This window comes from Homo sapiens, chromosome 6, assembly GCF_000001405.40.
Source record: "Homo sapiens chromosome 6, GRCh38.p14 Primary Assembly".
Lineage (NCBI taxonomy): Eukaryota > Metazoa > Chordata > Mammalia > Primates > Hominidae > Homo > Homo sapiens.
In genome coordinates this window covers 142,743,297-142,769,199 of record NC_000006.12, presented here as the reverse complement: position 1 = coordinate 142,769,199, position 25,903 = coordinate 142,743,297, and the positions used below count along the sequence as shown (strand labels likewise).

Sequence of the window (25,903 nt, the reverse complement as noted above, 5' to 3'; positions counted from 1 at the left end):
TTCAGGGAATTGTGAAGTGGGCCATAGAGCAGGGAATGGAGGCTGAAAGGAAAGACGAAGAAGGAGGACCGAGCTTTGCAAATGCTGCAGGGCTTACTCTCATTGACGAGACATCTGTCTCCTTCAAAACTTATTTTTCCAAGTTGCTGGCTGGTTTATTCCTACAAGAACCATCAATGCCTTCCATGTAAAATTATAAAAATATTAAGGGGAATTTTGAAATTTCTGCTAAATTAATAAGGAGGCAAATAGAGGATTTAAAAATATGTTTTCACTTTTATCAGTTACCATTTTCCCTTCAATAATTTTTGAGACTACTTCCTTAATTAATATAGATTGTTTTCATTGCTACTTCAAAACATAGAATGTGTCTTTTAAGTATTAGCATTGCACAGAGTGCTGAGTGTATATGTGTATCTATATATTTTTATATATAATATATGTACTTATTATATATAGCTGTAACAGAATGTTGAATTTATTCAGTGGAAACTGTCATTCTTATCTGATTTTATCCCTAGTGGTCCTTATTTTATATAACTAGTTCCTGGCCTTTTAGTACAGAATTTAGGCTCATTTTCAGAGATGATGGAAGAGTGGGACATAGGGGCTCCTGTGTCTTGGAGAAAGCATGTGAAATGATTCTCTCTTCTTGTCTTACAGATGAAACCTGATGCGTCCTTTTTATTTGGCAGCAAACTAGAAAGGAAACTAGTGGGAAATATCTTAAAGGAAAGAGGGAAAGGAGATATTCATGGAGATAAAGATATTGGATCCAAACAAACTGAGCCAATCCGAATTAAAATATTTGAAGGAGGGTAAGGAAACAAAGTGCAAATGTAAAATGTGCAGTTATAGGTCAGAGTAAATGGTCCAGAATGTCTGCATGGAAAAGGTACTGTCTAATCTGGTTGAAAGCTGAAAGTAAATTCCTTTTCTATTCACAGTTCTGAACTCTGGCTGGTAATAGATCATAAGTTCATGCCCTTGCCTTTGGGATTTGCTTTGCAAGAAAATGTCCCTAATGGATATCATTCAAGCCTCTTCCTTAAATTTTCACCCCTCTAATTTATTATGAAATCTACTAAATTGGTGGACACTTGATGTCATCTAAGTTTGTTCATTCTTTGATCATTTTATAGGTATTTGTTTTATTGACGGACATATTTTTATTGTATGCTTACAAAAATCAGATCATGCACAATCATGTATAATCTTCAGAACTAGTTAATTTGTTTGTTTGTTTTTCTTATTATCTAAACTAGAGGCTTTAATGGGATTTCACCAGTTCCATCAATATCCTTTTCTGTCCCAGGATCCAAGTCAGGGTACCACATTGCACTCAGTTGTCTTGCCTTTTCAGTCTTCTCTGGTGTATGACACTTTCTCTGTATTTAGGAATTTCTTTTCAAATCTTGAGTCCTGAGTCATAGAAACTCAAGTAATAAGGTTCAAAGACTTTGTTATTTGTATAGTTAAGAAAAATTACACATATGTAATGTCTTGTTTTAGATTTTGATAGAAATGTATCTTTCATCCAGTCACATAGAAGGAAAAGCCTACACTTATGCTTCTAAAATTTAAAAATTTTGAAGCGTGCTAACCACATTTTGGAGATTATGATGTAATTAGCCTTATCTCTACAACAAATCTATTATTTACATATCTTCATGGGCATGACTTTATTCCAATTATATTTGGAGGAAATAATGTTACTTGTTTGACTATAAAATGTGGAATGTTCAGTGAGATGAAATATCCATTTCTCACCTAGCATTACCGGTTTGGAGATGGATTATTCTATTTGGTTGTCCCTTAGGTTTTGCCCTCTTTGGATATCTAGCATTTTCACCACTAAAACCACAATTGTATGTAGTCATGAAGCTTGTCTTGATATTTTTTTGACATCCCCCATCTTTTAACACAAACGAGAGAAATATAGATTTTATCTCTCCTCAGAGACTGAGAGGTCCCTGTGACTGAATCAACCCTCTCACATTCAGCAGCCTTCATAGCAGTGTACTTGCACCAATAGATTAGCGAGAACTCCACAATTACTGTATGCTTTGGGGAGCCCATCTCCACTAACGAAGGACACAAGTGAAAAAGCGTATGTGAACATTTTATTGCTGTGTTTTGGTGATCCAAAAGGATTGTGCCCATATTTCATTTCCTCCTCCTTTAATTGCCCCGTTTTATGGGCTGTGTCCCATTACTTCTTAATCTGTGGCCCAATTTCTGCCCAGTGGTGACCAAGTGTTTTTTCCAAACCTTGTGTTACCTCCTCTTATTTTGGCAATTGCAAAGTGATAGCTAAAAAAATAAAAAGTATTACTGACCAAAATTGTAAGTGTATATTGTCTAACTGATAGGTTTAATAATAAATTCAATAATTTAGTTAAACACAGCTTTGAATGTTTTTCAAAATCCATCAATTACCTTATCAAGTAGATTCATGGGCCTGTAGAACTGTTGTATGATATATTATTTATACCAGTTTCTCTAATACATCATTATATTTTATACAGAATTTTACTGTATTTTCATTCTGGAAGCAAGTTAATCAGCTAAGACATTGAAAATAAAATTATACTGCTTGATGATAAAATGCATTTCCCATCACTATGATGGCAGGCTATAGTAAGCTTGAAGTATCCTTCCTTGAAGAAAATTAGCTTTGTACAAAAGTATTTGTTTTAGTCTATATGTCTTAAGCAATTTCATCTAGTTAGGGGCAGAGAATAGTGAAATTTAAAGGTGAAAGACATTTGCATCTTTAGGGTTTTTTCTACTTTATTGCAAAAGACAAAGATAAAATTCAAAATAATTTTGAAGAACAAGTGGAAGTCAAAATTCCTGGTAAAAGGGGGGAAATTTAAAGGAACGGAAGACATGCAAAATTGATTATTCATAGTTTTGAATAGTTTCTACTTAACTCTCATCTGGATTGGTACTGACCAAAAAGTAGATAACGTTAAGATTAGATGTGAATCCGTAACAGAGTTGCTGTTTAAATATGTGGATGGATTTCCTTTCTTAAAATTATTTCAATAGATTGGATGACTGAAGTTAAACTTGCCTTTATTCCTGTTTGTGGATTAGCTAGGATAAAATGAGGAAGTTTGCAATGCTCTTAGAATGTAAAAAAACTGTAAATTTAGTGCCTTTAACTAAATCCACAGTGGATTAGGGCATTTTGCATGTCAGTTTACCTTTGGAAGTTATGAAAAGAACTCCCCAAATGGAGCGTCTTTCCAAAAATAACATTAGACCCAAAATTCTAGCCTAGCTTTGACTTAAGAGATAATGACAGTCATTGAATTAGTCCGTATACTACTACTATATCTTATGACAAATTATGTTTTATTGTATTCTAAAATGGAATGGTTGAGCATTGGGTAGATTTCTTCCCTTGATTATCAAAGAAAATACCTAAGACTGTTTTTCTAGCCGATTTGATTAAGCAAGATGACCTCAGATATCCTTTCAAACATCTCTATGAAACCCTTCTGGAAACAAATGCAAATTTGATTAAAAATAGAATCTCTAGTTTTCATTATGTAACTACCTTGAAGAAGCTAGTTGAAATTTAGACTCCACATTATTACAGATTCATGGTCTTTGGGAAGAGCAGATCAAATCTGTAGACAACAGTTGGTGAGCTGAGCTCACCCTGTGTAAACTAGAAATTTCTGAGGCACTCTCGTGCCAGGATTGTAAAAATAGAGTAGGAACTTGCAATGAAGAATTCTATTATCAGTTATACTTAATTTAGCAAATTTAGAGGGTTGTATGTTTGTACATGTACATCTTAGATGATGTAATGTTAACAAAAGATACATGATGAACATGTTGGTATGCTTTTTGTATGTCCCTTGATTGGAGGCCATACTAGAATCCAGTCCAAAGGTCTGCAGCTCTTTGAGGTTTACATAAGTCATTTTGAACATCTACTTCCCAACTCTATAAATTCACATGTAATAGTGAAGCCAATTCCATTTTGAATTCCATGGAGCATTACATTTTGTTTACAGTGCCAAATCTATTATCTAGTTCTTTCAGCCATTTACTGCATAAATTTCACAGGCTTCGTAGAAGTAAAGTTGAATAATTGTCTGCAAAAGACCCTCATAAAACTTTGCCGTGCAAATAATTAGCTTTTGCTTTAATATATAGCATGCTAAGAATATTTGAAAACACACTGGATTCCCTCTTTTTAAAACAGGTACAAATCGAATGAAGATTATGTATATGTCAGAGGACGTGGCCGGGGAAAGTACATTTGTGAAGAATGTGGGATTCGCTGTAAGAAGCCAAGCATGCTCAAAAAACACATCCGTACCCATACTGATGTTCGGCCTTATGTATGCAAGTTATGTAACTTTGCCTTCAAAACGAAAGGTACAAGTCTGATTTTTTTGAGAGGAAAAATACTTCTCTATGGCTACTTAGATTTCTGAGTGCTATTTTATAACTAACCTTCATCAACAATAAAGATAGTTTGTTTGTGAAAATATGATTCCACGAAATATATTTTCTCCCTCAAGTAAGTGATCAAAGGATGTATGTGAGACTGTGAGGCTCCTTTTATGACTTAATTAAGAGCAGTAGACATAGGTCCAGGCCAGTTGTCTCCAAAGGAAGTGGCTACAAATTGTCTGGATAGCTATTACTTCATGTTGGAAATGTTATGTGGTCTAGATAATATTTACACCAGTATTGAAATCCTGCACATGCAGTGGTATTAGAGAAGCAAGGCAGCAGCTGGGAAGAAAACATGTGCTCTTGGTCAGTTTCAAGATTATAAATAATGTAGAGACCCACACACTCCCAGGTGGGTGCCTTCATCCACAGTTGCATTAATTATGCATAGAAATTTGATAGCTTGTGTTCCCTGTTTTTATCAGCACAGAGACAATTTCTGATTCTCAGTACATAACTGTTAGTCTTATAAAACTAGGACTTGCCTTAAAATTTTTTTTTAAAATCTGTTTTTAACAGGTAGATTTATGTAAAAATATTTTACTCAAGGAAGTTGCTTCGGTTATATTTTTATTTTTTATAATATTATGAAAATGTTCATAAGTCTGGTAGTCTCAGAATACAAACAGTAGTGAATTAGAGGTTGTTCGACTTTTGCAGAAGTGTGTTTTACCTTAGGTTTAGTGGATACTATAGGCACCCCCTCAACACTTTAAATTTTCATATTGATTAATCTGCTCATTCAAGAAAAAGAAATACCAAGTAAAATTATCTTTGGTAGAGAAATGTATACCTATATTCTTTTATAGCTGAAAATCCTAAATTGCTAGAAGTGTAAATGGGTAGCCTCTCAACATATCTGTTTCTCTTTTATTAAAAAGATCTATGTAATAGAATTGCCTCATTTGAAGCTGAAAAAAGTATGTGTTCATTTGTGTCTCAAAAAATAATCATATGGCCTTTTAAATACCACTCACCTCTGCACAATCAAGCCTTTTATACAGAACTTTACTAAGAGATTCCCTAGGAGATAAGAAAATAAAAACTTTGGTTTCAGGGAATATTGCAATTCAATAGTCATTACGAATGATACATATCTTCACTGGGCATATGAGTTTGCTGCAGGTATAGTTGTGTGAAAAACTGGATGAAGAAATGACACATCTCTAGATATTTTTAAAAATCAAATTAAGTCTGCCTCTGAATCATCATCTCCTGAAGGAAATAATTTATTCTTGGTCATTATTGGAGTTTCCTTGTCACCCTTTGGGAATGTGCAAATGTCTCAGAATCTTAAAATGAGCAAAACATCCTGGGAAACCCTGCCAGTTTTCACCTCCGACTGAAATGCCTGTTGTCCAAACCCACATTGTCGTCTGAGCACAGATGGAACGCCCTTGCATGACCAATCCCTTCTCCTTGTCTGTGCCACTTCTTCAGGGGCCTCCCCCGCCACTCTCCTTCCCTCTCCTTGTCCTTATACATTACTTCTGCAGCTCATGACTTTAACAAACTAAAGCCATGGTAGAATTGTTTCAGATCCAGATTTCTAGCTACAGACCTATTCTGAAGATGGGAGTCTAAAGCCTGACTATCCTTGGAATGGAGAGAAAAATGTAGGAGAAAGAAACACATACTAAAATCTAAATAAACTATCCCGATATGCTTAGCATCTATACCTATACACATCCATAGCGTACTTGCACTCTGGCACAAGTGATGATTTTTATTAATTTGTAGATACATTTCATTAATTTTCTAGATTTAAGCATTCTTGATATGTCTATAACATTTTTGGGCTCTTTAAAAAATGGTAGATATAAGTTTTGATAAATAGGAGGAGTGGGGGCCTGGAAATATTTCTGTTTGGAATTATTCAAAACAGCATGTAAAATTTATAAGTATATAAGCAATAAGTAAATAATAAAGCAATATGAGTAAAATAATAAACAACAGTGTCCCAGTTTTAACTGTGGCTCATATATTACATGAACAGCAAGCTGAACACCCCTACCAGAGGAATAAACTGTGCTAGCAGGCTGAGTTTCCACGGAGATTTCACAGAGCCTTCTCTTAAAGTATTTGTTGGTACATTGCTAAAGCGTTGTCAAGGGCACAGATAACATTATGGCTATTTTCACTGAAGTGATGTAAAGGCGCCTTACAACTGAATTAGTTCCTGAATCTCTTTTGATAAGTTATATGGCATATAATTTATATGTATGTGTGTGTGTGTGTGTGTGTGTGTGTGTGTGTGTGTGTGTGCATTCTTCTGTAGATCCTGGGTCAACGAGGATTGGAACAATGTTTTCAAAATTTCTCACATTTCATAAAGCAGTTATACAAATTATATATATAATTTATATCCACACATGTATATACACATATAATTGTATATGCCATTATCATTATAACATATTCAGCATGAAACCTTTCTTTTTTGTTAGTGTGATAGGAGCCTGAAGATAAGTAAAGAGGGAATGTTGCTGCTCCAGAATTTTAGGAATTGCTGTCATAACTTTTGCTAACATATGCCAGACAGATAGATGCTAAATACTGGGAATAATGCTCCCTATGAGTAGTTAGCTAATTATTTGTATGGATCTTTCAGAGCACTGACAAGGTTGGCCCTCACATTAGTTTGTATGTATTTTTCTTCTGAATGGTGAAGATCCTTGGAGGTTACTCTGTACCTGATCAGTCACAGAAGGTCAGGGGCCCAGTGGGTGTGTTGAGAATATTTCATTCTGAAGTATCTCTGAGGTGTGTGGCCAGATTGCGTTTCCTGTTTCTGTGGAGTCCCAGGAGGCTGGTGTATTTGGGTAGATATGAGGTCCCTTCTCAGGCAGAAAAGCCTGGGATTTCTAGTCTTGCTTTGAGCCTACTCTTGAAAAGATGTGAGCCTGGACTTCCACATATCTTCTAGAATAAAGAATATCTGAGATTGGGCCAAAGCTCTCAGGGATTGATATCTTCAAAGACCAGATTATTCTTCTTAAGGTTGAAACAAGGGGTAGTGGGTAGAAACAAATCTGTGTTACATGATGAATTTAATAAAATTAGTTCATTTCACATTGAATTTGGAGCAGCTATCAGCAGTTATTAATTTGATAACCAATTAATTTCTCTCTTTTTTTTGCTACATTTTCAAGGAAACCTAACGAAGCATATGAAATCTAAAGCACACATGAAAAAATGCCTGGAATTGGGAGTCTCAATGACATCGGTGGATGATACAGAAACTGAGGAAGCAGGTGTGTATGTCATAAATGAGTTGACAGACCTCTTCATTATGCACAGTGGAGCTCTGTGGCTGAGGTAGTAAAATAAGTTTAGATATTTTTAAAAAGTGATCACTTTTCATTTTATTAAATACTAAATATAGAAAATAAAACTGACACATTGAATTGCTTGAAATCTACTGAGAAGAAATGCATTTCAGTTTTGACTCCGAGGGCAAAAAAGGCCTTACTTTGAAAATACTTATATTTAGAGCCTTCTATGAAGGGAATAGAATTGCACTTGCTTTGTGATAGCAAATTAGATTTTATGAGGCTTTTTGGGGAATTTGAAAAGCATTTTAATGTATTATTATTCAAGTTAAGAAGAAACCCAGTAGGAAAACAAATAAACTAGCAAACAAACATCATTAAGGTTGGCCAGACCTCCTGAGTTACATCACTTAGACATACGTTTGTACCTGAGCTTGCAGAGACAGGTTGTTGCCTTTCTTTCTCCTCTAGCATCATAATTAACATTATCCATGCTCATTTGTTGAGGGTTTTCTGTGAGTGGGATGATGTCTGAGATATAAAGTCCTACTATGGAATCTTTCTTGTAAGTTGGGGATGAAAACAAATAGATATACAAGAAGATAGAATGAACGCAGGGTCACACAGGTAAGTGCCTCATTTTATAGGAGTTCTCAGACATAACTATCTGTGGGCACTAGGGATTGGGAAAAGCGTTTAGAAAGAAATGAGGCTTAAATAAGATCCTAACCTTGATATTTGGATCTTGATCTCCATTATCTTTGTTTAATTGTTTCAGAAAATTTGGAAGATTTGCACAAAGCAGCAGAGAAGCATAGCATGTCCAGCATTTCAACTGATCATCAGTTCTCCGATGCTGAGGAATCAGATGGTGAGGATGGAGATGATAATGATGATGATGATGAAGATGAAGATGACTTTGACGACCAGGGAGATTTAACACCAAAAACAAGATCAAGAAGCACCAGTCCTCAGCCTCCTAGATTCTCCTCCTTGCCTGTGAATGTTGGCGCCGTACCCCACGGGGTTCCTTCAGATAGTTCCCTGGGACATTCTTCGTTGATCAGCTATTTGGTTACTTTGCCAAGTATTCGAGTTACTCAGCTTATGACACCCAGTGATTCATGTGAAGATACCCAGATGACAGAATACCAGAGGCTATTCCAGAGCAAAAGTACGGACTCAGAACCAGACAAAGACAGATTGGACATACCTAGTTGTATGGATGAGGAGTGCATGCTACCTTCAGAGCCAAGCTCCTCTCCCAGGGACTTCTCACCCTCAAGCCACCATTCCTCTCCAGGATATGATTCTTCACCCTGTCGAGATAATTCACCAAAGAGGTATCTGATACCCAAAGGAGATTTATCTCCCAGGAGACATTTATCACCTAGGAGAGATCTGTCACCCATGAGACATCTTTCACCAAGAAAGGAAGCTGCATTGAGAAGAGAGATGTCCCAAAGAGATGTTTCACCAAGAAGGCATTTGTCTCCAAGGAGGCCAGTGTCTCCTGGGAAAGATATCACAGCAAGAAGAGACCTCTCTCCTAGAAGAGAGAGAAGATACATGACCACAATAAGAGCGCCATCTCCCAGAAGGGCTTTATACCATAACCCACCATTGTCCATGGGACAGTATTTGCAAGCAGAGCCAATTGTATTGGGGCCTCCTGTAAGTATAATCCACTTTTCTTTCTAATACATAAGTGGAAGCACATTGGTCCTCCTGATAATGCACTGGTGTGAAGTTTAGTAGAACATGGGTATCTGTCATGGGTGGAGTGAATCTGGCTAATGAAAATAGCGGGGAGACATTTTTGTCATATGCTATTGTCAGTAACATGGCTGTGGCATTACCTAAAGTGTAGTATTGCATCAGAGCAGCAGTGCATTCCCAGTGGGAACAGGTGAGGCCTTTCTGAAGGCTTTCTAAACTTAACTAATGATAGACGTAAGCTGAAGCCTTTTTGTAAGTAAAAAAGATGAACCTTTAGAATGCCATGACTGCATGGACATACACTCACAGGGACATTTAGGCATCACTTATATAACTCATCACCAGGTAAGGATTCTGATTCAGCTGTTAACCTTGACTTTCCAAAACTTTTATTTTTAAAATTTTTATTTTATTTATTTTTTTTGAGACAGGGTCTCACTCTTTCACCCAGGCTGGAGTGCAGTGGCACGACTTTGGCTCACTACAACCTCCGCCTCCCAGGTTGAAGCGATTCTCCCATCTCAGCCTCCCGAGAAGCTGGGACTACAGGCGTGTATCACCACACCTGGCTAATTTTTGTATTTATTGGTAGAGGCAGGGTTTCACCATGTTGGCCAGGCTGGTCTCGAACTCCTGAACTCAAGTGATCTGCCTGCCTCGGCCTCCCAAAGTGCTAGGATTACAGACATGAGCCACTGCGCCTGGCCTCAAAAACTCCTTTTTTTAATAAACTCTACCTTGCCCATCATGAGGGGACATGTGAAACTGGTCAGGGCCAGGGAGAGGAGAGAATGACACACTCGGCATGTTTATAAATCAAAGACATGAGCCTGTCTGCTTTTCTTGCCATTACTACTATCAAGTGCACTTGCTCAGTGGAAGCGTGGGCCCAAGGAGAACGGGAAATCAGGAGAGCTAAGTGAGAATGTGCAGAGATTTCTATGATATGCCTTCATTATAAGTGAAGATAACAGTAACCACCATGGATTACATTTAAGCAGTAGGTTTAATACAAATTCATATAAAAGCACCTGTCCTGCCTAATTCCACGGCTCAGTAGACTGTGATGTCTCTTTCAGTTTGTGTAGGATTTTAAAAAATGAATAAAGCATGCACTTAGCATAGACAGAGGCATGATACCTTTGGAATCTGTCTGCCTTGAATGTGTTTTGATTTCCTGGTTTCTACTCTTTGTTGTACTCCCTTGCTCCGGATCTCTGTGTCAAGTGCATCAGCACCATCCTTCACAGCCAGAGGAGACACTGCCAGCTCCCAGCTCTGTTTTATCACTGCCCTGGCAGCCAATTTTCTCCCTCTCATCACCTTCCACCACCCTGAATCCTGAGCTCAGCCTGTCATTTTTTCACTTTAGGAAAGCTGCTGCATTCCTGTCCCCATCCCCAGCACCATCTTTTCACAAGTCTGGTACCAACTTCATCTTGATGAAGCAATTCCTGCAGAAACATATATAGCAATTGGGATGTTGTTTACCAAGCTAACAAATTAGCAAGCTAATAAGAAAAAGAGATACATTTCCACAGGTTTTGGTGCCTTAGCAAAAGTAGGAAAGAGGGATCTTCTGCAGTTTATGCCATTGCAGCATGAATAGAGAACTGTAAATCTCCTGGATCATGGGATACCAAGTCTGGGATGACACATGCTTTCTCTGGTATACACGCAGTGATGCTGGCAGAGTGTGTTAGATGAGCCTCTCCCTGCCATCCCTGCAGCTTGTGTTCTAGCATTGGCCAGGTGGATTGAGAGTGTGGCATTTGTGAAACAGTGGTGCATGTTCAGTCAACTGCAAACATGCGATTCTTCAGTCAGAAAAAGTAAGCCTTTATCGCAAACATGCTGTGGTTGTAAAAATTTATAGCAACCCACAGTCAAGTTAGGCAAAGGAATTGGAAGAGTGGACTAAGGGAGTTCATCTGATTTTTAGATACATGCCCAGAAAGTTAGAGAGAGATGAGTTTTAGTAGTCACTGAGTTTGTACAAGTTTTTTTGATGTGTTTTTGTTTTGTTTCATTTTTTTTTAAATATCTGATCATGGGTATTATTATTATTTTGAGATGGAGTCTCGCTCTGTCGCCAGGCTGGAGTGCAGTGGCACGACCTTGGCTTACTGCAACCTCCACCTCCTGGGTTCAAGCAATTCTCTGCTTCAGCCTCCCAAGCAGCTGGGCCTATAGGCACGTGCCACCACACCCAGCTAATTTTTGTATTTTTAGTAGAAACATGGTTTCACCATGTTGGCCAGGATGGTCTCGATTTCTTGACCTCATGATCCGCCTGCCTCGGCCTCCCAAAGTGCTGGGATTACAGGTGTGAGCCATCGCACCTGGCTGATCATGGTTATATTTCATAGTGTTATTAAACTTTATCATTTATGATGCTTTTGGCCTGTTACCCAGTTTAATTCTCTTTAGAGGATGTATAGCCTGCTGCATTGTTCACATGGTATGAGGGAACAGATCTGGGAATCCTCCCTGATGTAGGGACAGTTCGTCCCAAGCACTGCCCACTTTATGCTTTCTCACACCACAGGACACTGACTGTGGTGTGAAGGGACCTTACAGCCCAGTCATATTCTGCCTGCGTTTGGAGTAATGGTGATCATAGCCAACACAGGTTGGGAAGAAATGAATGAATTCAAATGCAGATTGTGTTAAGTGTATGTGCATATATATGTATGCACACATATACACATATGTACAAATGTACCTACACAGACATCTATATATACATCTATATACCAGTTCTATTACCCCACTCATCTCTTCAACAGTGTGGCAGTAAGGAGCTCTAGACACAAATGATGAGAAGGAGGTAGAAGTGCTCCAGTGCCCCTGTTAGTTTTAATTTTAAGACAGATGGATGGACGGATAGATAGATAGATAGATAGATAGATAGATAGATAGATAGATAAGGTATCTTTTATCCATTTATTCAGTATCTACTGAATTTTTGAGGGTCTACTACGCATGGTTCGAGGTTGAGGATGAAATAATATTATGGCTGTGGCCTTATCTTTTTTTTTTTGATAAATAAATTTCCTTTTCCATTTTAAAGCTTTTGTAGATAGGTAGCAGGAAGAGAAACAAAGGTGTGTCCAGGCCCTCAGTATGTAGTGTAGATGAAGATTGTGTCTAGGGAAACAGTCAACATTCATTCCTATCCCTTGTTATCTGTGTGATCTTGGGCGAGTCACTTAACCTCTTGACCACAGTTTTTTAATTTGTTTCTGGCAGCCAGGGAGGTGGCCCATGCAGATTTTTGTTCCTGAAAGAACGTGCCATTCAGCTGTAAGGAATGTAGTGGGCAGACAAGCCTCCTGCTGGCATGTCAGCACCTTCAGGACAGGACTGTTTTGAAGCCAAAGCCATGCTCTCCCTGCAGCCCCAGCCAGTGACTGAGCACAAATGGGTCACTTCTCCTTCTCTGCTCCCTGCTGCCCCCAAGGAGGCTCTTGCTCTTCTACCTCCCTCTCATCATTTGCATCTAGAGGTCCCTACTGCCATACTGTTGAAGAGATGCGTAGGGTAATAGATCTGGTACATGGCGTATAGATGTGTATATAGATATCTGTGTATGTACATTTGTACATATGTGTATATGTGTCTATACATACATATGCACTTAACATAATCTACATTTGAATTCACTATTTGTTTTTCCACGACAAAATTTTCTTACTGAGATTTAAGTAAGATGGAAGTTTGTCCACCACATTTATAAGGCCCAAATTACAAAACAATAGGATTGCAAATGGAGTAAAAACCAAAGTAGAGAAAACTTATTGGGAGTTTCTTTGGAGGATGAAGAAGGGGTGAATGAGAGGAGAGAGGATGTGTAGAAATGCCTGGTGGGGCTTGGAGCAGTGGAAGTGGCCACATGGTAGAAATTCTACTTGTACACGTAGCTCTGTGGTTAAAATCAGTGAAGGGCTGAATTTGAAACTTTCATTAGTAGCACTAATAAGATTTTATTGGATTTAGAACATGCTGAGTATTATTGTAGTTTTAGAGGACAATTCATGACTCCATTTGTCAGCCTGGATTTGGGGATCTCAAGTCAGTTTACGTAATAGGACATCTCTCTCTCTCTCTGACTTCTGTTCCACTTCCTTGGTTTCCCCACAGATCCACATTCTGACTGGTTGTATGCAATGGAGGTCATGGAATAGCAGCCAGAAGTAAAACAGAAAAATAACCAAGCTCGGTTTTATTTTAAACTTTGAATCTGTGATTGCTGTGATTAAAAGAAAACGTACTTGATTATCTTCAAAGATCGTTACTGTAGGCATTACAGGTCTTCCTCCCAAACTGGTGTTTGATGAAGGAGACGTGCCTTTTCCAAACCTGATTAAATACAAGGGGGATTTTGTCTATGTGCAGAATTTAAATGATTCTCATACCGTAAAATTCCCACCTTTCCCAGCTTATGAGGTCGTGGTAACGATAGTGTTAATGATTGCACCGTTTCACTCACACTTTCAGGAGAATCCATGTTTCCAGCTTGCATATGATATATCACAGAGAAGGGTAAGGGCTAAGCATCTTAGAGAGTAGCAGAAATCATAATCTAGATAGAACTGGATGAATCTTTAATGCTGCAGAGCATACCTTGAGTTTTAGAACTGAAACTCTTGAAATAGAACAGTTTCTTTGGCTCTATCCTGGACTACTACCATACTGTATGGGTTTATATCTATCTATCTATCTTTGGTTCTCAAAAAATAGAAAAATAAATGAAGTCCTTTTTAGATGACAATCCATTAAAGAATGAATCACATTAATTAAAATATGATAATATTAAAACCTGATAATCTGACAATCTAAGTTGTATTTCACTACAGAAACAGTATAGAAAATAAATTCTCCATTTTCAGGACTAGGACTATGAAATCTGAAATTCTGGCTGAACATTTTAAGCATCCTTAATTCATTGATTGCCAAGAAGATATTGAGGTGGAAATGATAATATGAACAAAAGAATTAAGATGCAGTCATCTTTGGTTCACAGTATAGAGTCGAATATAAGTTGTTAACTGTCTGAAATAATGTTAACTACTTCTATGATGGATAGTTTCCTTTAAAAAATTATTATTGATGTAAGACTTAAATGGACTTGGTTTGTTATTGGATGGAGAAGCTGGCCTTCTGCATTGAGTATCTCTTAGCAGGAATGCATTCCTTTAGACCAATGTCTTACACATTGGAGGAACCAGTTTGTGGATCCTCACCACTGTTTTGTCATCTGTTCTGTGGAAAACTTTTTAAAAAAGCCAATTTTCAGACTTGTCATTCCAATTATATACTCATCAACACTTAAGAAAAATATTAAAAATCTGTCCAGTATAGCAACAGATGGTAATCTTTTTATTTCCTTTTGAATTAAAAAAAATATTATTAATGTTTATTAGTGTTTTTTGCTCAGTAAACTTTTTTTTTTTGCCAATTATCCATTAATTTCTTTTCATTATCTCTTGTGAAAAAAACAGAGCTGAAATGTGTCTCTGTACCCAATGGAAAACACCCTGACTGCTTTATCACCTTGCTGTTTAAAAACAAAAGCAACTTTTCACAGGCCGACACCTTTATTCAAGGATTATAAAAGAGAACAGAGAAATCTCTTTTGTCTTGAAATAGGAAAACTTGATCAAAGAATTAGGTATTGAAGCCTCTCTAGGTAGTGAATGTGTGAATGGGTGAGTGAATGAATCCAACAGCTTGACCTAAGAATGAAGCGTAGCAGGCTCTGAATTTTGTGCTCTCTTTGTTTCTCTGCGCAGAATTTAAGAAGAGGATTACCTCAGGTTCCTTACTTCAGTCTCTATGGAGACCAAGAAGGTGCTTATGAACATCCAGGCTCCAGCCTTTTCCCTGAGGGTCCTAATGACTATGTCTTCAGTCATCTTCCACTCCACTCTCAGCAACAAGTGCGAGCCCCTATCCCCATGGTGCCCGTTGGTGGGATCCAGATGGTTCACTCCATGCCGCCAGCCCTTTCCAGTTTACATCCTTCACCCACATTGCCCCTGCCAATGGAGGGCTTTGAGGAGAAGAAAGGCGCGTCAGGGGAGTCCTTCTCCAAGGACCCCTATGTGCTTTCTAAGCAGCATGAGAAGCGAGGTCCTCACGCTTTGCAGTCATCTGGTCCACCTAGCACTCCCTCCTCTCCTCGGCTGTTGATGAAACAGAGCACTTCGGAAGACAGCCTAAACGCAACAGAGCGGGAACAGGAGGAAAATATACAGACTTGTACAAAAGCCATTGCCTCTCTCCGGATTGCCACGGAAGAGGCAGCTCTGCTCGGGCCAGATCAGCCAGCGCGGGTGCAGGAGCCCCACCAGAACCCCCTGGGAAGTGCACATGTTAGCATTAGACACTTTAGTAGACCTGAGCCAGGTCAGCCCTGTACCTCAGCCACCCACCCTGACTTGCATGATGGTGAAAAGGACAATTTTGGTACATCACAGACTCCATTAGCTCACTCCACGTTTTACAGCAAGAGTTGTGTGGATGACAAGCAGTTGGACTTTCACAGCAGCAAGGAATTATCTTCAAGCACAGAGGAAAGCAAAGATCCTTCATCAGAAAAGAGTCAGCTACATTGATCTATGATGCATGGAGACTTTCATTTCCACATTTTCCCATTTTTTTGTTTTTGTTTTTCTAGAAATGGAGGTAATCCAGTTTATAGCATGCCTGTCCTAAGTTACAGTAGTTTGCTATTATATATACTTTTGTTATATCAAAAGAATTAGGTAAATTAACAAGTCATCATGAGCCTGACCAAAACAAAATTTGAAATTAACCTATTGGGTCTGGTACTTTTAAAATTGTACAGATGTTTGTGCCTTTTCTTTACTTTGCTTATATTCTTATAAGCATTTTTTAGCAGTAATTTGTACATATTTTAGAATTTGTGTATCTGCTTTGTAATAAATGTAATTTCTTTCCTTTTTTGGACACTTGGATCTAAATGATGTAAAGCAAAACAGCATCAATATATATGTGAGGTTGCACTAAAACATATTTTTATATGATTAAAACTGAACAGCTTTTATGTACAGCTCTGATTCTGTAATACTAATATTTATTTACTTTGTTTCATAAATTGTACATTTTTTCTTAATGTTGTGGATTGCTTTTCTATGTGAAGCATGGGATTTACTGTTGCGTAACTAGAACAAAAATGTACATTGTAAACAAGATATTTAAACTAGAGTATCTTATTCTGCACTTATGCATTAGTTAAAAAAAGATAAAGGATGTATCAGTCAGTTCTTAACTCTTGTATATTTTTTTGTCTCTTGTTTGCTGGATTGACTATAACTTAAGTGCTGATTGTGATTTTAAAATGATAGTACCGTAAAGCATTAAAGTAAACAATGTGCTATTGTGAGTTTTTTCAAAGCTTTATAAATCAGTTATAAATAATATTAAAAGTATTTGGTCTTATGTGAACATGTTGATCTATATACTCATCTAAAAATATGGGAAAACATTCCACCCCATGTAAATATGTACAAGTGCATCACTGGTACAATTTTATGTAACTCAGTTGGACACTAGGTTGCCACAGACCTATGCTAGGTGTCTTTAAAAAATTAAGGTGACAAAGCACATGGGACTGTGTAGAGCTTGGTTATCGGCCGGCCCGGTGGCTTGGCAGGCAGTGCTGTGCGCTGCTCATGGAGAAGACCTGGGCTTAGCAATCTCCTTAGTTCTTGCTACACAGGATGGTGACTGGAACTAAGGCTACACAGAGGGTCGCACTTGGACTCTGAGGGTTGGGTGTGGAAGGGGGAAAAGGAGATGGAGACCTGCTCCCCAGCTCTTCCTGTCAGCCGGTTTACATGGGAACAGGGTTAACATCTGTGTTAGGGGAGGTCACCTTACCCTTTTTCATAGGGGAAGAGTGTCACACTCCTGGCTATCTCAGGGGGAATGGGGAAAAGAATCTTTCAAGGGCAAAGAACTCGTGGGAGGATGTCTGTTGTATGTAATACTCACAATGGCTTTTGGTTAGTGTTGAAGGTGGGAAGAGCATTTGTAGGTCCAGAAGAGTGAAAGAGAGGGAGGGGTGCAGCAACATGTGCACAGGCACGCACATGTGTGCACGCACACATACAATCTGGGTTATCTTTGTGCTATATAGTGGATTATAATTCTGTGAAACCAAGTTTGTATATTGAATTACATTAAGGAGTGTTCTTTAAAAAGAGAAATAAATATACAATTACATGCTTGAGGTGTCTAGTTCTTATGTGTTGCTTTACATTTTAATTTCCCAATTTTGTTTCTAAAGTAATTTTGATACTAGCAACATACCATCTGTGCTTTTAATTGCTAGGCTCTGCCCATCCTGAGTGTGAATGCTTTTAACAAGTGAGAAGACAGTCATTGGCTTCCATAGATTATCTGATTAGAACAGATAGTGGTCACCAAGGTGTGGGCCCTAGGAATAGACTTATCCAAACCTCAGCATGGGCCTGGGCAGCATACGTTGCATCTGAACAGATTCATGAATAAAGCAAATTATCATTTTTCCTCTGCCTCTCTTGCAGTATGCATACTTATCTGAAATTCCACTGGGGAAACCTCTTCTTTCTTTTTGCTAAGGTGGCTGAAGCTAAGAATCAACTAAAATATATCAGAAGATACCCACAAATCACAGTTCTTTTATTAGAATGAGTAGAATCTTTTTAATAATAAGAGCAGAAGCTCATTAAAAGTCAAAACCTATTAGTATTTTCACTATAAAAATCTCAAATTTGTGGATTTACAATGTACCTATTTGCTTTTATGAGCCAGACTGTCTTTTTAAACTGTGTTTTACAAAGGTGATTTAAAGGTCAACACAGACACTCTAATATCTGTCTCTTACCAAGAAGAATCTTTTGATTATGTAGGGTGATTTGTGTGTCATATTCCTCATTGATGTGTGCGTGCGTGTGTGTGTGTGTGTGTGTGTGTGTGTGTGTGTGTTGGTGATCCCAGGCCAAATCAAATTACTCTGTTTCCTCCTCTACCTAATTCATCACTCATTTATTCAGTCATTCATTCATTCATAAAAGTTATTGAGTGCCAACTATGAACTGGGTACGATAGTGGGCATTTATTTTTATTTTTATTTATTTATTTATTTATTTATTTATTTATTTATTTGAGAGTCTTACTGCAGGCCAGGCTGGAGTGCAGTGGTGCTATCTCAGCTCACTGCAACCTCCGCCTCCCAGGTTCAAGTGATTCTCCCATCTCAGCATCCTGAGTAGCTGGGTCTACACGTGCATGCCACCATGGCTAATTTTTGCATTTTTAGTAGAGACAGGGTTTCACCATGTTGGCCAGGCTTGTCTCAAACACCTGGCCTCAAGTGATCTGCCTGCCTCAGTCTCCCAAAGTGCTGGGGTTACAGGTGTGAACCTAATGCTCCCAGCCTGGTGGTGGGCATTTAGAATTAATAAAGAGTATCCGTGCCACCAAGGAGCTCAAGTAAATAGGAAAGACATATATGTAAGTAAATGTGGATAATATGATGTTTGAGCTAAAATAGTTGCACATTTGGTTTTATAACCATAAAGGGAGAGAGAAATCATCCTGGAGAGAGCAATCATCCTGCTGAGAATGAAGAAAAGCTTCATCACAGAGGTAGCCTTAGAACAGATCCTTGAAACAATAAATTGACTAATTCATTCAACGTAGCTTTTCATCACCTACATTGGAGTACTCTTGTGTGTGCTAGGTGTCCAATATGGCACAAAACAGATAAAGTCCTTGCCTTAATGGAGTTTATATTCTAGAGGAGAGGGCAATATAAAAAATTAGTGGGAAAACGCATATTAGATCTGATCTGAGATGTGTAAAGCAATTAATGTGTAAAAAGCAAGATGTAGCTGGCACCCTAGGTATGTGGCAAGGTAGTACATGGTTAAGCTAGAAACACATATCAAAGTCCAATTTCCTAATCCAGCCTACAGGTCTGGCCCTGTAAGCAATGGAGAACCAAGGAAGGATTGAAGCAATAAAGTGGCCTTGCTAATTGTTGTCGTTATCATTATTTTGGGAAAAATAAAATACTGTGGCACCAGCGAAGATAAGGGAAATAAAAGCAGCAACAATCCAAACAAATGATGGAGACCTGGAGAAAGAAGGGACAGTTTTGCTTAATGAAGAGGAATGGCTGATAGCTAGACTGATTTGGTGCTGGGATGAAAGAGATGGAGAAGTTAAAGATGATGAGTTTTTAACCTGGACAATAGAATGAGGGTGGCATTATTCAGCCACAAAAGAGAGTGGATTTGTACAGAATGCTGGTAAAGAGATGAGCTTTCCTTAGCAGTTCTGAAGGAGTTCAACCTCAAACAAGAGAGGCCAGAGCTGGAGACTGGTTTGTCAGTTCTTGTTTTTCATCATAGCTGAGAGCACTGAATTGGATGAAATTCCTCAGGGTATATAAAGGGGTAGAAGAGGAAGTTTGAGGGTTTCCAAAGGTAGACAAAGAACATAGGGGCGAGCAAAGGTATACTTCACAGGACAGCACATCTCATCTGCTGAGCCTTAATGATACAAAATTGTTTAATATTTTTGAGAACTTGATTTTCAATATATTCCCCAAGATAATTTCTAGAAAACAAAACTTTTAGAACATCATTTTCTGAGAAAAAATCAACTGCATTTGTGGAATTATTTACTATTAGTTACTATTTCCTTAGTAGCATAATAGTAGCTTCATTATTAAATAATAAATTAGAGGTTATTAAATTAACCTGTCATTTACAAATATCTTTTCCAAAACCTGTAGTCTAGAGAAGTTAGGTGAAGTTTTCAAGGAGAAATAGGTGGTTCATTACAGAATCAAGGCTAAAAATGAGCTCCCACCTCTTTGTCCAGGTTTGCTTAAAGAACAGTTTCTCATTATTTATGCTCTTCTCACTTAGATCAAGATTACAATCACAATAATGTACTGTGAAAGTTGTTGGGTTGAATGGGCTCAGAATCATACAAAAACAACAAAGCTTATTTCTGCCCTGGAAATGGTCTTTATTAGTTTAAAATATATTACTAAATATGGTGGCATCGACTTTGCCACAGTACAGTTTTTTTTCCCAGGGGCAATTTGACATTATACAGAGCATCAGCTCCCATTAATTTCCGAGTGTAGAGAAACATATGCTTACCCAGACTTTATATGCAACAATAAACCAGCTTGGCTATGCAGTAGTACTGAAGAACAGGGAAAGTGGTGGAAATTATTCTACTTGGCACCGAACAGTACCTAAAGAGTAACAAGAAGAAGACACAAACTCTATTTTCTAGAATTCTCTAGATGGATCATTTTATGCATACATATCCATTGCTTATCAACAACTAAGGCCACCTTCAGAAATATACATTTGACAGGATGTATTGACTTGTGCCTGTAATTCCAGCTACTTGGGAGGCTGATCTAGGAGGATTGCTTGAAGCCAGGATTTCAAGACTAGAAATACATGTTGGTTATCAAAATGAATCATATCAACAGATTTTCTCTCCATTCACTAAGTGCCTATAAATGTATTTCAGATTCTGCAGTAGATCCCTGCCATGGATTTTTATTTTTTTGAGACAGCATCTTGCTCTGTTTCCTGGGCTGGAGTGCAGTGGCACCATCTGCAACCTCTGCCTCCCTGACTCAAAGAGACACTCCCACCTCAGCCTCCATAATAGCTGGGACCACAGGTGCCCGCCACCACGCCCAGCTAATTTTTTGTATTTCTTTTGTAGAGATGGGGATCTCACCATGTTGGCCAGGCTGGTCTAGAACTCCTGGGCTCAAGTGATCTGCCTGCCTTGGCCTCCCAAAGTGCTGGGATTACAGGCGTGAGCACCCCGCCCAGCCCCTGGCATGTTTTATTCTTCAAGTAGATTCCAAGTGTTGTTACATTGTTGAAATACAAGCAGAATCCATATAGTTCGATGTGAATAAAATCTTATTTTGGCAAAATTAAAATAAAATGATTAATGATCATACATTTCCTTAATTTATTAAAAATCATATTAATAAAATATTTTTAAATGAAAACCTTTCTATTAAAAAATGCCACTGGGCACGGTGGCTATTATTTCCTACAGGTTATTGTTGCAGCATGTAGGAAAAACTACATACACACACATTGTACATGGTCCAGGGATCCAGGCCATTTATGGGGACAGCATCCCCATACAAAATCTCTTGTAGCTAATAATGATAAGTATTCTCTACAAGCCCTGTTTTAAGTGCTTTCATTTATTCCCTCATTTAATAGTCACAAAACTGAGTGAAATAATTTGCTTAAGTTTTCCCAGCTAGTAAATAGAAGAGGCAGTTAGGCTCTAAAGCGGTGCCATCCAGTAGAACTTTCTGTAATGGGAAAAATGTCCCATATCTACACCTTCCAATACAAAAGCCTATAGCTATACATGACTGGAGCACTGGGAATGCGGACAGTGCAAGTGAGAAACTGGACTTTTAATTTTATTTAATTATATTTAAATTAAACTTCACATGTGTCTAGTGCTTCCTGAATTGACTGGCCACCTCTGCAGGCTGGACCCTTCCCCTGTGCACAGGCTGCACCACCCACCTCTATAAGCACTCATCATTTGACAGCTATTGAGGTTCTATCACATGCTAGCTCTTTTCTTGGTGCTGGAGCTATACCAATGAACAACAACCACCAAACCACACCAAACCCAAAAATCTGCTATCAAAGAACTTAGGTTCAGTGCTTATCACTAAATATCTAGTTAAGGATTTTGGTGATACAATCCTATTGACTGCTTCTGTTTCCATTGAGTTTTGGACCCTGGAACTCACTCAAGCAATAACAGCCAAAGCACGCTTTTTTGAAGAAGTAAACAAGCATCCTCCTCCTCCTGCCAGAAATCTGTTAAAAGCAAGGATGGAGAATATATCCCATTCTCAGGACTCATGTGGGGTCTCTCACTTCTGCCTTGGTATAAATGCATATGCCCCCTTGTGGCCTAAGGAAAGAGAGATGCAGCTGGGCTCCCCAAGGGCCCTGACTCCCCTACTGCTTCTGCATAGGACATGGAGTCTATGAAGAGAGCGCCCTGGCTCCTGGAAGCCTTGCCTTGCTTTTCTACTGACCACATGTTATTAAGTAAATGGAAGGCAGAAGGAAGGAGTCTGACATTTCTTCTCCCACAGTGAAGGGTGGAGGAAGGAAAGAAACAGAGGGGTTTCCTTTCTCTAGCCCAGCGGCCATCCTGACTGTGAAGCAAGGGGTCTGAGGAGAAAACTGCTCCTTGCTGCCGCGTATCCATCTAAGTAGCCAGACTCATGGAAAACCACACTGCAAATGTTGCCCTCTTTGGAGAAAACCCACTGTCACCAAGGATCTACTGTTTTCCCCAAAACATAGTCTATGACTCTCTGTTATCCCCTTGGAATCAGTGAGATCATAATTCACGTGATATTCAACTGAAACAAACTAGACAAAGAGATTAAATAAAGCAACTTCATCTTAGCTCAAAAATTAGAACAAGCAGCCTTTCCCAGAGAGAATTAAGCCCATCAGAAAATGATTTGAGTGACTATTTTTCTCAAATCTTCTAAGGAGATTACGTAACTAGCACCATCCTTGTGTGTAGGAAAAAAGTTAATTTGTTACACACAATGGGTGTCTTAGGGCATTAGGACTTAATATTCATATGGAAGCCTGTTTGACAAGGGATGGACTGTGGTATATTTCCCAACTCGTATCATGCCTAGTCACATTGTCAAATCTAGTTTAACAGAAATAATACATTGAGTACCACAGGACAGCATCAAATCCCCCCAAATTGTATCATGCCAGCAATATTAAAATGCCCCAAATGTGAACACTGCCTCATTAATATTTTCCAGAATAAACTTAAATTGCAAAAAGATAACCTCCTTTTATATTAAATACTAAATAAATTTAAGTCCCCAGTTTTGCTTCCTTTAATTCCTTACCCCAAGAATAACATAACTTACGTTCCCAGGGAAGGTTACAATTCAAATGTGTTAGGCATTTCAGCCAGGACCTTGGTGTACCTACCACTCGGCAATATGGGATTTCTTTCAGGGAAAGTGGTCCACACAAGGAACATAGCCAGATGGGAAAAAATGTTATATTCCCTATTTATCATCCCTCCTCCCTCTGCCAATCACATGCAGCAAATGCTTCAGGTTAATGATGCATTCAAGAATGTGTCTTGATCTCCATTCTGAAGTAAAGCCACCTTCTTTCTATGTAAATCTAAATCTTAGGGTATGTATAACTAGACATTCCTATGTCAAAAGAGATATGTCCAGATTTACTGCATTCTGTTTAGATAAATAAATATGTGTCATTTTATGTATATATACATTATTTCATTTACTCCTTTTAGCTCCTGTAATATGGGCATTATAACTTCCATTTCGCAAATCACCAAATATTTGTAGAGAAAGAAACATAAATTTTATAACTTGCCCAAGATTACATAACTGAGTTTCAAACTCAGGTCTGTCTGACTCCAGAATCATCCATTCCATTATTTCATTGATTGTCATTCAGCCATAGCTGCAAGCTTTCAAAGGAAATTCATCATTTGTTCTTTCATTCATTCAAACATGTTGATTGACTGACTGCTCCTGCTGCACTGTTTAGTAAGCAAGACCGCATGTGAGCAAGAGATTTCAATGACAGCATGGAAAGGAATTTGAGAGAGGGATTGCTGCAATGCAAACCCAGATTTGAGGTAAGTGAATCTGAACTATAAGGAGGGAACCCTAATCTGAACAAAAAGTAAGGGTGTTCTGGAACGTAAGGTGATTATCAGGTTAGTGCAGAACATTAAAAGTGTTACAGGTAGGGGAGGCCCTCTGGAAAAATCCCACAGCAAGAGAGAGCAGGACATGTTGGAGAGAACAAAACAAATTCTACAGAGGGAGTAAAGATTCTGAGGTGCAGGGCCAGGAAAGGGATAGCAAGAGGTGGAGCCGACGGGATAAACAATGATGAGATACTGCAGGGTCTTGGAAATCATTTTTAGAGGTTTAGACATTAGGGCAACAGTTATTTGGGAATTAGAGCGTGCTAGGTAGGAAACTGATGGGACAGGGTTTGCGGTTTACCCGCTAAAAGGGCTTTAAGGTACACTGTCCAAGAGTCATAGCAACATGGGGCTACAGAGCACTTGGAACGTGGTTACTCCAAATTGATATGCACTGCAAATGTGAAATATATGCCAATTTTGAAGATATAGCACAAGGACGGTTTCAAATATGTTATTCATAATTGTTCATAGTGAGAACATGTTTAAATGATACTACACTACAAATATTAGGTTAATTAAAATGATGTTAAAATTAATTTCCTATGCTTCTTTTTTTAGGTTGGTACCAGAAATTTCACAATTGCATACGTGGCTCACATTGCATTTCTATTGGATGGTGCTGGTGAAAGAGAGAATAGATGAGGGGTTGGGAGGGGCCACTGAGTTCAGCTAGGCGGCTATTTCCATGATGGTGGCCTGCAATAATGCGGCAGTGGTGAAGATGAAAGAAAGCAGACAGACTTGAACTGCAAGAAGGTGGTGCACCATATGAGATGGTGGTTTATTAGATACAAGGTTCTCAGAAGAAGGGGGCGTCATGGTTAACGTCCCATTCCTAGCTAGCCACAAACAGATTAAAGATGATGCCTTTTCACAACATGGTTAAAGGGCAGGGGGCAGGGAGGTTTGGGAGAGCCCTGACGGATTTGGTAGCTCTTCCTTACTTCCTGACTTTGGGGGTCCTGTGGACATCTGAAAGGAGAGGTCCAGGGAGCAATTGGAACTGTGGTTCTTCTGATACTATCTTAATAATAATAAATCTATCTGTAATTTATTTAAAGTGGATCATATGCCAGACAGATATAATCTCATTTAATCCTTCCATGAATTTGTTGATAAGAATATGGCTACATTCCCTTCCTTTTTTATTGCTCTATATCAATGGTTCACAATTTTATCAACTATCATATTTTATAGTGCCTCTTTTGTATAGTTTACTCATCCTATTATATGGAAAATATCCATATAATTTTGAAATTATTATATGGATAATTGAAATTATCCATATAATGTATAATATCCATATAATATTTTCAAAATTATATGGATAATTTCAAAAATTTCAGTATAATACCCTAACTATATATAAAGGAGAAATGACAGAAACTTAATTTACAATAAAATTTTATTCATCTATTAAATAGGTAAATGTACTGTGTTATAGTTAAAGATTACAGTAGAAAGTATAATGAAGAAGTTAGGAGCTTGCACCTCCATGCAGATCACCGTGATTATGACAGCTACATATTCACCTGCCGGTGTATTATACTGGGAACTCAGATGCCACAAGTGGCATTGTCATTAGAACATGA

General features: G+C 38.3%; 1 protein-coding gene across 14 annotated transcripts in view, besides 1 other annotated feature; it reads left to right on the top strand.

Annotated features, from left to right (window-relative positions):
* Positions 1 to 17,731, top strand: part of HIVEP2 (HIVEP zinc finger 2) — a 194,265-nt gene extending 176,534 nt beyond the window's left edge. For all 14 annotated transcript variants that reach the window (NM_001438449.1, NM_001438450.1, NM_006734.4 and 11 more), the window contains 5 exons: positions 664 to 818; positions 4,226 to 4,401; positions 7,635 to 7,736; positions 8,533 to 9,428; positions 15,269 to 17,731. In NM_001438449.1, the coding sequence (NP_001425378.1) occupies positions 664 to 818; positions 4,226 to 4,401; positions 7,635 to 7,736; positions 8,533 to 9,428; positions 15,269 to 16,093 (2,154 nt within the window). In that variant the 3' untranslated portion in view covers positions 16,094 to 17,731. The remainder of the gene's footprint in view (positions 1 to 663; positions 819 to 4,225; positions 4,402 to 7,634; positions 7,737 to 8,532; positions 9,429 to 15,268) is intronic.
* Positions 7,306 to 7,355: an enhancer, noted in NCBI's record as "active region_25179". NCBI's record gives its function as "activates an Ori minimal core promoter by ATAC-STARR-seq in GM12878 lymphoblastoid cells {active_cell/tissue: GM12878}" and the evidence as "EXISTENCE:reporter gene assay evidence [ECO:0000049][PMID:35858748]".